This window comes from Homo sapiens, chromosome 7, assembly GCF_000001405.40.
Source record: "Homo sapiens chromosome 7, GRCh38.p14 Primary Assembly".
NCBI classification, from domain to species: Eukaryota; Metazoa; Chordata; class Mammalia; order Primates; family Hominidae; genus Homo; species Homo sapiens.
In genome coordinates, this window is record NC_000007.14 from 40,678,331 (window position 1) to 40,694,991 (window position 16,661).

General features: G+C 38.6%; 1 protein-coding gene across 17 annotated transcripts in view; it reads left to right on the top strand.

The window, feature by feature from the left end:
• SUGCT (succinyl-CoA:glutarate-CoA transferase) overlaps nt 1-16,661 on the top strand; it is a 903,812-nt gene that overhangs the window by 543,326 nt on the left and 343,825 nt on the right. For 9 of the 17 annotated variants that reach the window (XM_047420840.1, XM_011515525.4, NM_001193311.2 and 6 more), the window contains one exon: nt 5,726-5,803. The exons of the other annotated variants lie outside the window; for them this stretch is intronic. In XM_047420840.1, coding sequence (XP_047276796.1) covers nt 5,726-5,803 — 78 coding nt within the window. The remainder of the gene's footprint in view (nt 1-5,725; nt 5,804-16,661) is intronic. 17 annotated transcript variants of the gene reach the window in all.

The window sequence follows — 16,661 nt, forward strand, 5'->3', positions numbered from 1 at the left end:
TACAGCTTTTCATGCTCCCTGTCCATGAGCAGGAATGAGTGAATATATGATGAAGGAAGAAGATCCTTGATCTAAAGCTATTTTTAGTTGTCAAAAAACAATTACCCATACTTCCCTTTTTCACCAGAAAAATCCCTCTGAACTACCCAGCCACCAAAAGAAAGAAAAGAGTACACAGTGGGGTGTGAATGGCAATTCATACTTTCCCTTCCTGGGCAAATTTGTTGGAACCCAAAAATAAATAAATAAATAAGCCAGACATCACTGAGTGATTTTTAACAAAATCATAAGCAAAATTCCACTATAATAACATAGAATGAATGGTATGAATTGTTTTTCCAGTAGTGAACTATTCATATAGTATATCTAGATGAGACATAAGGGCAAGGAACTGTAACATTTTGAATACAGTTTTGTGCTTTAGGGCAGATATTTTTTCCTACATGAAGAAAATATAGGTAATTTGATTCAGTGAATCTCACACTGTAACCAATTTGGTTTGTTTGCCCTGGGCTTTTAGAACAGTCCTTTCACTACTATTGCGAAGTGTTATTAAAAGCAAACAACAAACAAAGAAACCCGTGGCAAATAAATAAATAAATAGAAAACTTAGCCACTTCAGCTCATAATTTTGAAGTTCCTTCTGGTTGACTTTGGTAGCCACCTATAGTTCAAGATAGTGGTGACCAAGAATTATTCAAATCAGAGACTAGACATAAGAGTACTTTGCAGAGCCCAGGCCACCCTTCTGAAGGGTTCAGGCCATTGGGCTTCCCATATTCTTATGCCTCATTCTCTTTTATGTGAAGGTACAAACGTCTCTGTAGTATGTCTACCCAGTTCACATATCTTGACACTAAATTCACTGAGAAAGGAGCATTTCTAATATCCATTATGCTGAAGAACAAGGCCCCTAGTGTTTATCAATCTTGAAGATAGCTGAAAGCTATCTTGTGAAAACTGTATCTGGAGTTGGCCTTTTGTTTAAGATTTTTTCCATGCTAGCCCACCATTCCTGGAGTGTGTATCCCTGATAAGAACAGATGACCAGCTCAAAGGTGTACATTAAAATGAACACTTGCAGATACATTACTGATCTATGCTGGAGTGTCTTAAGGCTACAATCTCATGACAACCTCTCTCTGACTAGGCAAGTTTGCATCCTACCAGAAACAACTCCCCTCATTTATGCCAGTCTCTTGAATGAAGTCAAGAGCCTCTATTTATAATAAATAGTACTCTAGACAACCTTTCCCACTTTGCTGCTGTTCTGCTGGCTGGATGCAGAGAATACCTTTTCTGGCATGGACAATAGAAGAGAGCTAGTTGATAAAATAGTGATATTCCATTAACATTGGAAAATTTATGATTAAAAAAGCCCACATGTAGAAGGTAGAGTCCTGAGTCCAAGGCTAAATTGCTCAGGAACTAAAATTTAGTTTGTCTTTATTAAAATCCTCCTCCCTTTTCCAGATCTCATTTGCTATCCTGTGATTGATCCTCTTATTCACACCAGTATTCTCTCATGATGAGAATTTCATATCCAGTCTACACAATACCTTAACTGAAAGCTACTTACCATACTGCAGCATTTGTGTCATGATATAGAAAGATATGCTGTTTGATTTTTTTAAGGCATTGTTGCTAATGCATGGCCCTCCATCCTAAATTAAATGGTTAGATGAAAGAAAATGTAATGTCATATTTTGGACCCTTCAGCTTTTTAAGGAACAAGTCCACAAAAGGTCATATCTTAATCTTCACAGAAGGTTTATTTTGCAGAGAAATGCAATCCTTTTTCTCAGGCAGAATAGGGAGGAAGGATTTACTATCAGAATCACCTAAATAAATAGAGCTTGTTTTTAACTTTTTGGTTTGGTAATAGATGGATTTCTTTTAAAAAATCGAAGTCAGCTGTTTAACACCTGCAAAAGATTCAGGATATATTATGTTCAATAAGTGCTAACTTTTTAAAAGAGGCAAAAATTCAGCAAATAGAAACAAAAAAATCTCAGTACAATAAATGTTAGCATCTGAGAATCTCTCTTTGGCTTATTCATGAGTGTTACTTAGAAGTCTGTCTGAGGCTCATTAGGCCATTTAAAATCACAGGTCTATCCATGTGTAGACCAAATGTTTAAGAAAGGATTACACACCCACAAAAGAAGTAAAAGAAAAATAAAAGGCCTGAAGACTGTGCCTTGAAAGTCCCAGGGTGCATTCTCTTGTCAAAAGGTAATTATACTCTACTCACCTCCCCACCCAAGGATATAACTACTTGTTCCATGAAGTTTTACAGGAGGAAAAAAATCTCATATTTTACATTGGTACAATCCTAATCTGGAGGAAATTATGAAATTTATAACTGGGAATCACATATCCCCTATTCTGCATTTTCTATGCTCCCTTTGATTATGGTGACCATAGTTACCATATGCAAATCAGGCATGTGTGGCCAATGTAGTCATGATCATTCTACCTGGGGTTGGCAGTCTTCTAAAGTAGTAGTACAGTAGGTGAGGCTCTAGGGGCAGTCATGAGTAATGAGATGAAGCACCATGTCCACACTTAACATTAGGAAAATTCATGCACTTTAAACCTGAACAAAATTGTAAGTGCGAGCATGTTTCCACTAGCAATGGACAACTGAAGACTTCCTCTGGAATATTAACTTCAAAACATCCTGATCCTCATTTATAATACACCTCAGATACTGGGAACCATGGGGTTTGTGATATCGTGAAATATATAGGACATTTAGTCTTTCTCTAAAGAAAACCCTAAAAGCCGGAATCTCCAGTGATTAGTGTGTCTTTTTTATGCTAATGAGACAGCATGACTCATTAGATAGTAGTGATTGGCAGCCCCTATACAGTTTAGAATGAGTTTGGTTACCAGAAAAACCAAAGCCTAATTAGAGGGTTGGAACTTTCAGCCCCACTTCCCCAAGCTTCAGGGAGGGCAGAGGCGCTGAAGGTTGAGCTAATCACCAGTGCCCAATGATTTAATCAATTATGTTAATGTAATGAAGCCTCCATAAAAACCCAAAACAAGGTTCAGATGAGTTTTCAGATAGCTTAATGGGTAGAGGTTCCAGGAGAGTGGCACGCTTTGTTATAGAACCCAACTGGGGCCCACTTTCTCCGTACAGTAAGACCAGATACCACACCGAGGTTTTGCAGGAGTAGAAAGGAAGGCATTTATTGGCAGAGCTCTAAGCAAGGCAAATCAGGGCAGCTGATGCTTCTTTCTCTCCTGAACTCCTCAATGGCTTGCAGGTAAGGGTTTTTAAAGGCAGGCACAAATTTCAGGAAAGCAGAAGTTACAGGCAAACTCATAAATCAAAACATGGACCATATACATTGGTTTGACCTCAAAAGGCAGGACCTCTTGAAGTAGGGGACCCACAGGCCAGAGGTGGATTCAAAGCTTTTCTCATTTGTGGCTGGTTCAGGACATGAAGCTTTGTTTAAAATTGGGGATCAGCAGAAAATAATATTAGCTCTAGCTCATGGGCATGACTTCCTTCAGGCCCTCAGGAAGAAATTTGGAATAGAGAACAGTGGTCAGAGTTCAGTCCTCAGTTTTTCGAGTAGGCAGATCTGTTTGGTGGGGGTCTGGGTTTCTGAAAAACAAGTCAGGGGTGCATGTGAAGATATCTTGAGTTTCTATAGAGAACCAAACATTGTTTTGACTAACTTCCTTGGCTGTTGTTTTAGACTACTATTACCTTTTTGCTTATTAAGTTGCTCATTTACTTCTCAAGGCTAGCTAGGTGCCTGGAATTTCCCTTGAAGGAGCTCAGGATTTTCCTTTATTTCCATGCTTCGGGGTTCCCCACAGCCTGCTAAAAGAGGGGTCCCTGCTCCATCTCAGCCTGGAAAGGGCATGGAAGCTCTGTGTCCCTTCTCCCATTCCCCACCCTATACATCTCTTTCATCTGGCTGCTCATTTGTATCCTTTGTAGTATCCTTTGTAATAAACAGTAAATGTGAGCAGTATTTACCAGACTTCTCTGAGCTGCTCAAGCAAATTAATCAAACCCAAGAAGGGGGACCAGGAATCTTGATTTATAGCCAGTCAGTCAGAAGCACAGGTCACAACCTGGGGCTTGTGACTGGCATCTGAAGTGGGAAGCAGTATTGTGGGACTGAGCTTTAATCCGTGTGATCTGCTGCTGTCTCCAGGTAGATAATGTCAGCACTGAGTAGAATTACAGAGCACTCAGTTGATGTCCGCTGGAGAACTCATTGCTTGGTGTATGGGGAGAAATCCTCACACATCTGGTGTCAGAAGTATTGTATTTACTGGTGTGTGAGAGTAAGAAAAACACTTTGTTTTTTTTCTATGTCTATTAAGGTTTCATAGAAAACTGACTCCCTCCCATCCCCTCCCCACCCCCCAAAAAAATCCACCTACTTTCTCTGGGAAGAAGGAGAAGAGTTAAGTTTTTGTTTGATTTACATAGCTTGAACAGAGTCATTATTCTTTTTCTGTTTTGTGAATGTGGATCTAAGTTATATTTATCTCATTCCATTCTACATTTTTGGTGTCTCCCAAAGGAAAAGATATGTTTGAAAATGAAAGGTCAGTATGTATTGTGAACATGGAAAAGGTTACTTCCATTTTTGTTGCTGTTCTTTCACAACTTTTGGAATTTGTGCCCTGTCAGTAGTGAAATAGGATTCCTTTGCATTTTTTTAATTTGTCAATTTACTTTTCTCACTTTATATCAGTAAATTATCCTTTTAAAATTTACTTTAGATGACTTTTCTGCTTAAAAAAAAAGTAACCTGACTTTTTTCTGTAAATAGAAATTTTAATAAAGACAATTTCTCAGTTATTCTTTATTAATTAATTCCAAGAGGCTTTGATGTTCTAGTTAAGAAAGTGATCAGGGCGATTTTCCTGATTTGCTGGCTGTCAGGTTGAAGTGAAGGACAACATCTTTTGTTAAAGCCTGTGTAGCCCTGAAACTTCTGCAAATGTCGCTTCTCAGAGGGCTGTGAGAGTAGGTTAGTTTTTCCACCTGTGCTCAAGACCACCCCCTTCCTTTCTTCAGGGCAGGCTTCTGAAGTCTGAGCTTGTGCTTTTTTATCTTGGGTGCTTATAAATATTTAAATTCCATCATAAACACATCCCACTGGCTTGGACACATTTGAGAAATGGCTCCAGTGGAAGAACGTGGAAGAAATTTGGTTGTTTGAAGTTCCCTTTCCCACTGTGGGAATCTTCAGACTTCTTGGCTGTGCTAAAAACTACTGATCAGCCTGTGATGGCAAGATGGATACTCCATTGCTTGACTCTCAGTTGACCCTTGTCAATTATGTTGAGAAGATGAGACAATCTCTGCAGTGAATTTTAAGTTCATGTGTTTATTGAGCATATTAAGTGTCAACATTCACTCTCAGACGTTGTCACTTAAGTAGGTAACTGCGTGAAATGGCTTGGGATTTGGCAGTCTATATTAGTTCTCTATTATTGCCATCACAAAGTTCCAGAAATGTCATGGCTTTAAACAAAACAAATGTATTATCTAACAGTTTTGTAGGTCAGAAGTCTCACATAGGTCTCACCAGGCTAAAATCAAGGTGCTGGCAGATGTATTCCTTTCTGGAGGTTTTGGGGGAAAAGCCATTTCCTTGATCATGTGTGTTACTGGCAGAATTCAAATCCTTGTGGTTGTATGACTGAGGTCTCTGTTTTCTTTGCTGGTTGTCAATAGAACGCTGTCTCTGGCTTCCAAAGCCTGCTGCATTCCTTGGCCCATGGCCCCTTCCTTCATCTTCAAGGATCAGCAAGGGTGAGTTGAGCCCTTCTCTTACTACATCTCACTTCCTGCAGCCAGGAAAGGATAATCCAGGATAATTTCTCCATATCAAGGTTTGTGACCTTAATTACATCCATACTTATTCATTTACATCACAGGTTTCAGGGATTAGGACATAGCATCTTTGGGGAGCCATTATTCTCTCTGCCATAGTCATGGTGTTGTTTAATGGACAGAGATGCAAAGAGGCATTCCATTTTACTTAGATTCCATTTCTGAGACTCTACCCTCTCTTTAAAAAGCCTTCCTTGTAATTTTTTAAAACATTTTAATCAAAGTAATTCATACATATGGTTTGAAGAAACAAGTAGTATGGATAGATTTATAATGAAAAACAGCATAACCTTGTGCCACCTCTCGTCTTCAGATTCTCGTCTCTGGAAAACTCTGAAAGTTATTTATTCAGCTAATTATATCTAGGTTTCTAAATAATACAGTTAATACCATTTCCTAATATTTTTTGAATTTTAGACATTTATTCTGTTCCATGGACAATGAGGATTTAGCTCTCTTGTTCCATTTTCTACACAACTCACAACCTGCTTCTCTCTCTCCCTTCCCAATATAATCTTATATCACTATTTTGGTTAAATAAGTAGCTAATATTTACATTACCATGAGTATGTAAATGTTTCTCATGGTTGAGACACATAGTGTTTTATGAGTTTTCGTGGTTGTTTTTGTTGTTGAGACAGAATCCTGCTGTGTTGCCCAGGCTGGAGTGCAGTGGTGTGATCTTGGCTCACTGCAACCTCCGCCTCCTGGGTTCAAGCAATTCTCCTCTCTTAGCCTCCCAAGTAGCTGGGACTACAGGCATGTGCCATTGTGCCTGGATAATTTTTGTGTGTGTTTATTTTTTTATTTTTATTTTTTTTCAGTAGAGATGGAGTTTTACCATGTTGGTCAGGCTGGTCTCAAACTCCTGACCTTAAGTGGTCCACCTGCCTTGGCCTCCCAAAGTGCTGGGATTACAGGTGTGAGCCACCACACCTGGCTCTTATGAGTATTTTCCTGAATTTAACAATTTTGACTTCATTCATACACTGCTTAATTTTCTGTGTTTGTTCTAGTAATTCAGACCTAAATTCTCTGCTGGAGTTGTAAAACTGTGTGATACAATATTTAAAAATCAAGAAATTTACAAATTATAATCTACCTAAAGATATTCCTCTTGGAGCCCTCTATCCTGTCTTCTGATGTGGATTAATTCTCTATAGACGTTGCTGTTTGACTGTCTTCCTGAATTGTCCTCTCACCATCAACTTGGGACCATTTTCTAGAACCCTGTTTTCCTATTGGAAAAAGATACATAGGATATAATTTTGTGGAGATTTTGCATGCATCTTTATCCCATCTTTATCTTTGATTGGTAATCGGCCAGATGCCAGTCCTATTCTACCTTCAGAGTTGCTGTTGCATGCCTCATCCCATTCTAATTCTTCATCTTTTGATTGTGGATTTTTTTCCCGTCTAGAAACTTTAAAAATAATCTTTTAATATCTGGTGACTATTTCTCAGTAATATGTTTTAGTGTAGATCTTTTGTCCAACCTTGTGCTAGTTGGTTATTCTTTGACTCATTTACACATAAGTTTTAGGCCGCACGCATGGCGCATGCCTGTAATCTCAGCACTTTGTGCAACCAAGGTGGGAAGATCCCTTGAGGTCAGAAGTTTGAGACCAGCCTGGCCAACATAGCAAGACCCCATCTCTATTGAAAAAAATTCAAGCAATTTGGAAGTTTTCTTATATTAATTCTTTGAGAATTTCATACCACAGCTCAATCTGTTGTTACTTTCTAGATAGATCATCCTAGTTTTCTATCTCTTTTAGTTCTGTAATTCTATTTTATAGCTCATCTATCCAATTGTCTGCATTCACACTCTCGTTCTCTGAATGAAAGAGCATCCTGTTTTTATTTTTTTATGATTGTAATATTTTACCTGAGTAAATGTGGTACAGTTGGTTATACTTTTCTTCTGGTTCCTGGTTTCCTGTTCCATTGTTTCCCTTTTTTTGCTTCACTTTGTCATGTTTGAGGCAGTAAGATGTACAGGTTAGAAGCATGAGCTCTGGATAAAAACCAAAAGACTGTGAAACTGGCCATACTACTTAGTAGCTTGTGACCTTGAGCAAGTTACTTGACCTTTATGTACTTTACTTTCCTTACTGAAAAAATGAGAATAGTAATGGTACTTCTAAAACTGGTATAAAGTGGTAATTAAGTTTATGTGTATATATGAAAAACATTAATCTATATATATAAAGAAGTTAATTTGCATAAAAATTAAAATATGCTTAGAATGGTGCTTGACACACAGAAAGACAGCATTAACTATTGATATTTCAGAGCGTGGCATTGATAAGCTGACTGGGAGCTTTGTATGTGTGAGTAGGATTTGACGACTGACAGCTTCTTGAGTGGAAGCAGATAAGATGGTAAGCGGGCTTTTTCATTGAAGGACCCCAAATATCAGCATCTACACATCCATTCTCTTGGTCTGTTCAGTTCTCTAGAGGGAAACTCTACACATCTCTGCCTGTGGGGTTTAAACCTGATTGTCTTTGTTCTAGGAGCTCAGTCAGGGAAGGAGGATAGGGAATGTCAAATTTGGCATGTGAATTTTCAGTTAATTGTCTGGTTTTCTGCATGGAATATCACTTTTGTTCCCAGCTGTGGATGGTGTTACAAAATCTACAGCTTCTATGTTCAAAACCTCTAGAAGCTGGGGGAGGGGCAATCACCTATTTACAAACTTTAAGCCGATGCTCATGTTTTCAGTGTTACCCTGCACACCCACCTTCCTCAGGTTACTCCAGTCCCAGGATTCACATGTTTGAACTGGCTTCTTTCTCACTGCCCTCACCCCCAACCCACAATTTCATTTTTTTCCCATCTTCTAAGTTGATTACTGCTTATCCACTGCATTTTCAGCCTGTAAAATGTTGTTACCATCTATCATCATCTGTTGTTTCTACTCCTCTTCTCTTTGCCCTTCTAGGTTTGTTCTTGAAAAAAAAATTCTCTACTGTCATTTTGGTGGAGAATTATGAGGGAAGAGTAATAAACACTGTGTTCAACCTACCACATCTAATTGTCACTCTCCAAGCAAGGGCTAGCTTCATTGGCAGAAGGGGACAGGGAGGAAGCAGACATTTAAGCAGAAATTCTTGTTTTGAGTTTTGTCTCCTTTTCTCTGACACTGGTGGACTCTGTTGATGTAGTAGTTGTGATTTCTTGAGGAGACTTTCAATTTTACTCCAGCTCCCTCCCAGAGAGTGGCAGATTAATTATTTTTTAGCTGCATCAGTAGTTGATGGTCTAGTCCCTTCTACCTTTTTCTAATGGCCATTTGGTGGCCCCACAGCTCCCATATCCCCTCCAACCTCTGTGTTCCTTTATGAGGAGCTGAGGAACCACTGAGTTCTTTCCACCCTCAAAATTTCGTAGAGAACTGGAATGGTTATACCCGCAATTTTTCTTCCCACAAACACCATACCGTTATAGCCCCTTCATGTCCTATTGGCATGAGCTGATCCAACAGATCTCAGTTCCTCAGTAATCTCTAGATGAGAAGCAAGCACTAGCCTCTATTTTTAATTTGTGCCACCTACACCCATACATACTTCAGAAGACTTATGGCAAGCTTCTTAGGAACTCCTTCACCAGGCTTCTGTGAAGGCTTCCAGGTTCTATGAGTGAGCAAGCTTGAAGCAGAGAGGCGGTGGCTATACTTGGAAATGGTGGAGATAATTTATTTTTGTCCATTTCTTTTGTGTGTATTTGGAATTACAGGGCCCCCCAATATTTTTAGCCACCAGTTTATTTACCATGGAAGCAGTTTGTTAATTTGGAACTCTTCATCCTTCAACAGTTTTTATTGAATATTCAAGATGCTAAGACTTAATTTGGAAACTCTTATACAAATCTATAATCTCAATAGTATTCTTAATGCAATGGTCAGTAATTATTAGTCCTTTGATAAGCAGAGACCTCGGGACTGCCATGGCACAATCAGTCTTGGCCCAACAGCTTCAACTTTCTTCCATGTGACAATGTTGCAGTTGAAGCCATTGGAGACCCAGTCTTTCTCTGTTACACAGATTCCTGGATCAGCACATTCAGAAAAGGGTGTCTCTGTTACCAGAAATTTAAAGTGAGATGTTTCATGATAGGAATTTTGCTTCTGAATTCACGTTTGCCCCAAGAAATTACAATCCAAGTCTTGTACCCAGTCACTGGAATAGTTGCCATGGCACTTCTATTTGTCTTGAAATTATATTTGTCGCTAAGATACCATGTAATAGTAAAAATTTAAAAACAACTCCCAAAGCCTCTAAGCAGTTGTATCTGAATTACAGATTTGTCATCAGACCACTAAAATATATATATAATATTTAAAAGAAGATAAGTTACAAAATTTCTAGCACATGTTGGTCACTGTTATATTAAAGACAATATGAAAAATAAAAAATTTCAAAGGAAATACACTCAAGTCTTAACACTAATAGTGTTTGGAATGAGATTGTGGTGTAAAAGTTAGGGCTAACTTTCCCCTTTTGAAAAATGTTTCTCTGCATGTTACACATTTCTTGTACTGAAATTATATTCTTTTTGAGTTAGAAAAAATAATTTACACAAGCACATGATATAAATTACTAAATTAAATTAAAAGTAGCATATTTGTAGGTAAAATTAAGTATTTAAATTCTCTGTTCATATTTTAAAAAAAAATTTTGGAGAGAGTACAGATTCTAAATCTTTACCCCATCACACTACTGAATTCTGAAAAGAAATGGATGTGTGTAAAGGCTAACTTAAAGGACTGTGGAGTGGAGCAAATATGGTAGGTTTTACATTGACTATTGCTGGTTCAGTTTATCAAGGAAGGAAGGAAAAGGAGAGACTTATTTTTCTGAGGCAGACCCAACTTAAAGTTTCTTTAAAAGCTTCTTGTAGGTTAAGACATGTTCAGAAAGCTGCAAACCACTACGTGTTCCAATTCACATTGCCCTTCATTTTTGCCTGTGTGTTTACTAATTTTTAGCCTGTCAAGTAATAGAAAAGGTAGCCTTGGGTGGAGCAGACATCTTGTTGTTCTAGAGAAGACTTAGGTGTCCAGTGGATAGCAAGCAATGAGCCCCCAAATTCTGGGGAAAATAAAAATATCACAAAGGCAATCTTTTTTACCTTTTTTATGTCTGAATTTTTTAAGAAAATCATAGATTTCCAAGCAAAGCAGAAAGACCATAGTTTGTTTAGAATGTCACTTTCAAGAGGATTATCGTGGGTAATTTTCCAATGAGAATATTTAGCAACTTTAGTGGAACATAATCCTCTCAGATTTCAGACAGAGGCTTTCTACTCCTGCTGATCTTCCATAAGGACAAAATTCTTTCCTGACTTGTACTTCCTTCACACTATATGAAGGGCATCATATAGCCAACACAGAAAATCTTCTAGTGGAATCCTGGTGCAAATGAGATGAAACCATGGCTAAAGGCCCATTTCTTATAAACAGACCACGTCTGTTTGCTCCAACTCAAATTCTTGTAGCAGCCAAACTGGCTGGACAGTTTCACTTAATTGAGTGGCAGGGGGTGGGGTGGATGGATTGAAGGGTGGGGGGATTGGGGAGAAGGATATTGAGTGAGTCATAAGGATTAGCTGTGCATATTATTTTACTCAGGGTACTCTCTTCCCTAATTCCTATGACTTACCCCTATGGATTTTCCACATGTAAGCAACAAGTAGCCACTGTAAATTACCACTTAATAGGATCAGTTCCCTATGTCAGAAACCTAAAGTACTTCCACAGAATGGGAAATTAATATTTGGCTTTTGCTTTCTGAGAATCCATGCATATGGTCACCATACTACAAAGAATTTCAAATTCATATTTACATAAATGGATTTGTTCTCTTTGCATTTGTAATAGTAACATAAAGGAGTCTTCATAGTTGAGCCCCTTATTGTTGAGTCCAAAAAGGATGCCGAAAACATGTGGAGCTTGGGATATGGGCCAAGATGGTAAACATAATGGTTACAATTTGGTTGTCTGGGACTGTTGCCTTAAAGTTGTTGTATTCACAATATCATTATATATATGATTAAGAATATTTTTGTGACATGAGTAGACTTCTGCTCAAAAAACAATTTATAAAACGTTTTAGAACCTTAAGTAGACCTTCTAGCTACCTTTAGATGTACTCTATAAATCAAATATTATCTTTCGTAAGCACTTACTTCTTCCCTATGCCTAATTATGTTAATTATTGCCCAATACATTAATTATATTAATAGGTATATTATGCTTAATATGTTAATTATTTAAAAACTACTTTCTCATAATTCTTGCTGTAAGTCATATTAATGGAATAGCAAGATATAGAGAGATCAATTCATCCCTATAATTTTTTTTTTTTGAGACAAGGTGAAACTCTGTCGCTCAGGCTGTAGTGCAGTGGCTGGATCTCAGCTTACTGCAACCTCTGACCTCCTCGGCTCAGATGATCTTCCCACCTCAGCCTCCCGAGTAGCTGGGACTACAGGCACGTGCCAAGATGCCTGACTGCCTGACTAATTTTTGTATTTTTTTGTAGAAACGGGGTTTCACCATGTTGCCCAGTTTGATCTTGAATTCCTGGGCTCAAGCCATCCACACTCCTCAGCCTCCCAAAGTGCTGAGATATAGGCAGGAGCCACCACACCTGGCCATCCATATAAACATTTGAGCTGAAATCTTAGGAGGACCTAAAGGTTGTAACTAGAAGTCACTGACAGACACCCTCAAGGTCTGGTTCTTCTCCAGAGGAAAAGGCAAGAGCCCATCTGGACGAAATATACTTGGGCCTTTTGCACTTGGCTGTCTGATATTTCCTCTGGAATAGAAAAGGAAGACTCAGGAAAAACTGATATTGGGTCTTCCTACTGTTGGAGAACTAAGGATCTCAAAGAATGAAGACGGATTCTATAGAAACAGGAAACAAGTGGAGCTGCATGAAATCCTGGAGTGACCTGGCCCTCTACTTGAAGATGCAAGAAATGGTTTTTGGGCTCAAGGTCAATCAATATTTTCTCTTACGAACCTACAGTGTATATGAGACTGTGTAGACTCCTGAAAACTACTTGATTAATTTATGTGAGAAACTTTTTTTTTTTTTGCCTTTAGTACTGATATAAGACAGAACTTTTTCTCCTCACAGCTGGATCATACCCAGAAGCCATATTTCTTACTGATCATGAGCTATCATAGCTATTGGGGTTTAGAAAGAATTGAAATCAGCATGATCAATAATTCTTCCCAGAAGTCAGGCCCAGCTTTCTGGTGAGAGTGGAATCAGATATAAACTTTTGATATATGTTAGATATACGCTAGATATATCAAAAGTTTAATGGAGCCAAACCAAGACAGCCTGCTATATCCACTCAGTGATGGCAGCCAGAAATTATTAAAGTCTTGGCTTAAGAATCCTATCTTTATCTTCATACTAGAAACTTTTTTGACATCAGATTTATAGTATTCAAGTCAAATGGAAAGTCAAATGGATGTCTTTCTTTCTTAGAGTCTGCTTGGATGAACTCACCTAAAACTTGTCTTAGAATTCTTTTTTATCTAAAGTTTCAACAACCGCCTTCTTCTTTTCTAGGGAGAGGAATGGCATGGAGTTTGGGGAAGGAGGAATATAAAGAGAAGAAAATGTGGGCAGATTTCAAGAGACACAAAAATTTGTTAAGTGCTCACCATGTAGCAAAAATATTTATAACCCTTTCTCATTGGATTCTTATTGAAATGATCTATTTCATAGATAAACAGAGGTTCATGGAGGTCTTGCCATAGGAGGTGATAAAGCCAGAATTTGAACTAGATGTCTCTAATACCAAAAATTGTGCTGTTTCGCTGTATCACCTCTGCCTCACCTATCCTAGTCACTCGTTAATAATGTCTCAGTAAACCCTATTCTGTGTCTGTTATGTCTCAAGGCTATGCTAGATGCTGAGCAGAGAAAGGGCTTGATACATTGCCATAAGTGGTATAGTAGTGGTACTTAGGGGGAATCATGAACAACTGAGTGGTGCAGACAAGGTAACAATTCTGTTTTGCAGGGAATGCAGATACTCGGTTCTATAAAAACTACAGTGAAGGTGGGACATTTAAGTCTTCCCCTGAGAATAAGGGTATTACTTTGCCAGGTTAAGAGGACAATGGATTGGGGCATAGAATAGGGAAATGAAGAAGCTACTTCAGGTTTAGGAAGTAAGAACAACAGAAGCAAAATTTGAAAGCTTGACAGTCCTGATTTTTTGGACTTCCGTGGTACAGCCAGTGAAGATGCAAAGGGTCTCGTACTGTGTATTAAGAGAATGGGAGCCTTCCTGGAGGTGAAACTGGATGAGAAAATTAGAGCTGTAAAATTTAATGATGGAGTAGAATATACTACTGCAGCACACACTTTGGCTAACTCAGGAACAGTTCATAGAGCCTGGCTTCCTGGGACACCGGGATAGTTGTACTGGAGAGAGGATTCCAGAAGCAAAATAGATACAGAAAGGGCTCGGGCACCAATTCTAAATTTCATTTAAAAACTCAGCAAGAACCTGCTAGGCCTGTTTTCTTTCACCTAGAAGCCAGCTGAAATGGGTTCATGGTCCCATTCTACCAATGAGACACACAGTTGTGATGAGAGTGACACATTCTTGAGAATTGGTTGAGTAAGGGGAAGAAGAATAGCTTTGAGATATTCATGCTTTGTGCTAAGTGTCAGGAAAATGACCTGTTTAAGGGAAGTTTAGTTTGACTGAGCTAGTAGGGGTCATCTTTGAAATCATATTACTTCATCTCTACTATACGGGCTTTGGAGAGAGGAAAGGAGTTGTGAATGTCTCCTGGAGGGTCATCAGGAGCTACTTCTTAAACTAAGAATGTGCCTTATCTCCGCCCTAGTAGCCATTGTTTCCTGCAGTACAATAGACCAACTCTTCTCTTCACAGTCATTTCCCCCAGTACATTATTTTGTGAGTGATTATGAGCCTGGGCTTTAACTCGTGATAGAAGTTTTTCAAGTACTGGCTCTACCACTTATGAGCTGTGTGAACTTGGACAAGTTAATTGACCTAGCAAAGCCTCCCTTTCCTTATTTGTGGATGAGAATGATGGATGGTACTTAACTCACAGGGCCTGTGTGCAGATGAGATGAGACCTAGAATTAATAGCACACTTTCAGGTGCTATTCCAAATGCTTTACATGCATTCATGCATTGAATTTTTGAAACGGTAACCATATAAGGTAGTGCCATCATTATCCCCATTTAACAGATGAAGAAGCTGAGGGCCAGAGAGGTTAAGTAAGTTTCCTAAAGTCACATGACTAGTTTCAGAGCTGGGATTTGAACCCAGGCTTTTAGGCTTCAGAGATAACACTATTTGGCTACTGTGCTATACTGCCTCTGAAGGAGCATGAATCACCTGGACATATTTGCTAAAAGATATAATCATGAAATAAATATCAGCCAGTCAAGAAAGCCTGACTTTTTATTTCAACCTGATGTTCAGCGTATTCCTCAGTATTAGAATTTTGGAAGCTCACCTTACCTCACTGGTGCATTAGCTGGTATTTATTTCTTCCCTAATCCAGTTACATGAACACAATTAAAATATTTGCTATTTCCATGACCTGGGAAAGTTCTACGGGAAGACACTTCTTTCAATCACTAATTTAAAACAATTTCATTTCAACCTCACAAAACACTGTCCCGCCCTCAGAAAAACGTCCTGCTGTGTTCTCACCATTCTTTTGGAAAACATTCCCACAGATCAAACAAATTAAAGATGTCAGGATCCATTGCACAGCCAATGTGTATCTAGATATTTCTTGTAGTGCATTTTCACTGAAGTTCAAGTTTATTCTGGTTTTATCAGCTATTGTCCTTAAAAGGGATCTCTAGATGTTGTAAAACTTGAGATCTTGATTTTGACTGGCTTCTATTTTCGTTTTCCGTTTTGAAAGTTTCTGTCAAAGGCCCCAAGTGTGAATGAGGAAGATTGCCTTTAGTCCTAAACCTACCAACTTGTTTCCGTTGTGCGAAAAGCTGACATGGAGAAAGTTCAGCAAGGATGTCAGGTCTGCCCTAACATAACTGTGATGGTTTGCAAAGCATGTGAGCAGGCTCCTGGCAAAACCCTGAGGAGAGGAACTTCTCCAGCTATAGCTCTGGGCTGCCATCCCTTTCTTGAACTTGGCACTTAATGAGCTGGCCCTTAGCTTCTTTGCATCTCAGAATCAGCTTGGAATAAGCTTTATTCTTGATGTCGAGCCTTTTCAGTTTTGTCTCTAGTATTTCCTTTGCAGCAGAAATTTTTATTAACATTCATAAATAACATTTTCCACATACTATCATTTATCTCTCTTCCACCTAACTTATCCCAGATTTTGTGGGGATTGTCTGAAAGTGATTCACGTTGTTAGTGAACAATTTCTACATTGTTCTTGCTGGTTGCTAAATAGAGCCTTGCCCCTGGTTAAGTCAATGAGAAAGATACAAATTTGTCCTCTTTTCAACAGTTTGTTTCCTGTTAAACAAACTGAAGAAGATATAAAACAATTCTTGCCATCAGTAGTCAGATCCCTCTTTTAAAAAGACATCATGGCTAGGAAATGGCTCTGAACTTTCTGAGATGAAATGACTACCTTTCTTCTAGAAGTACTGAAAGAATTTACACCAAGTGGCTAGAGATGTTTTGGGGGGATTGGATAGACCAGTATCACTTGGTGACCTGCTCAGCTGTAGTCACTTTGGCTTGAAGAGCAGACACATTTGTGCAGCTATCCCC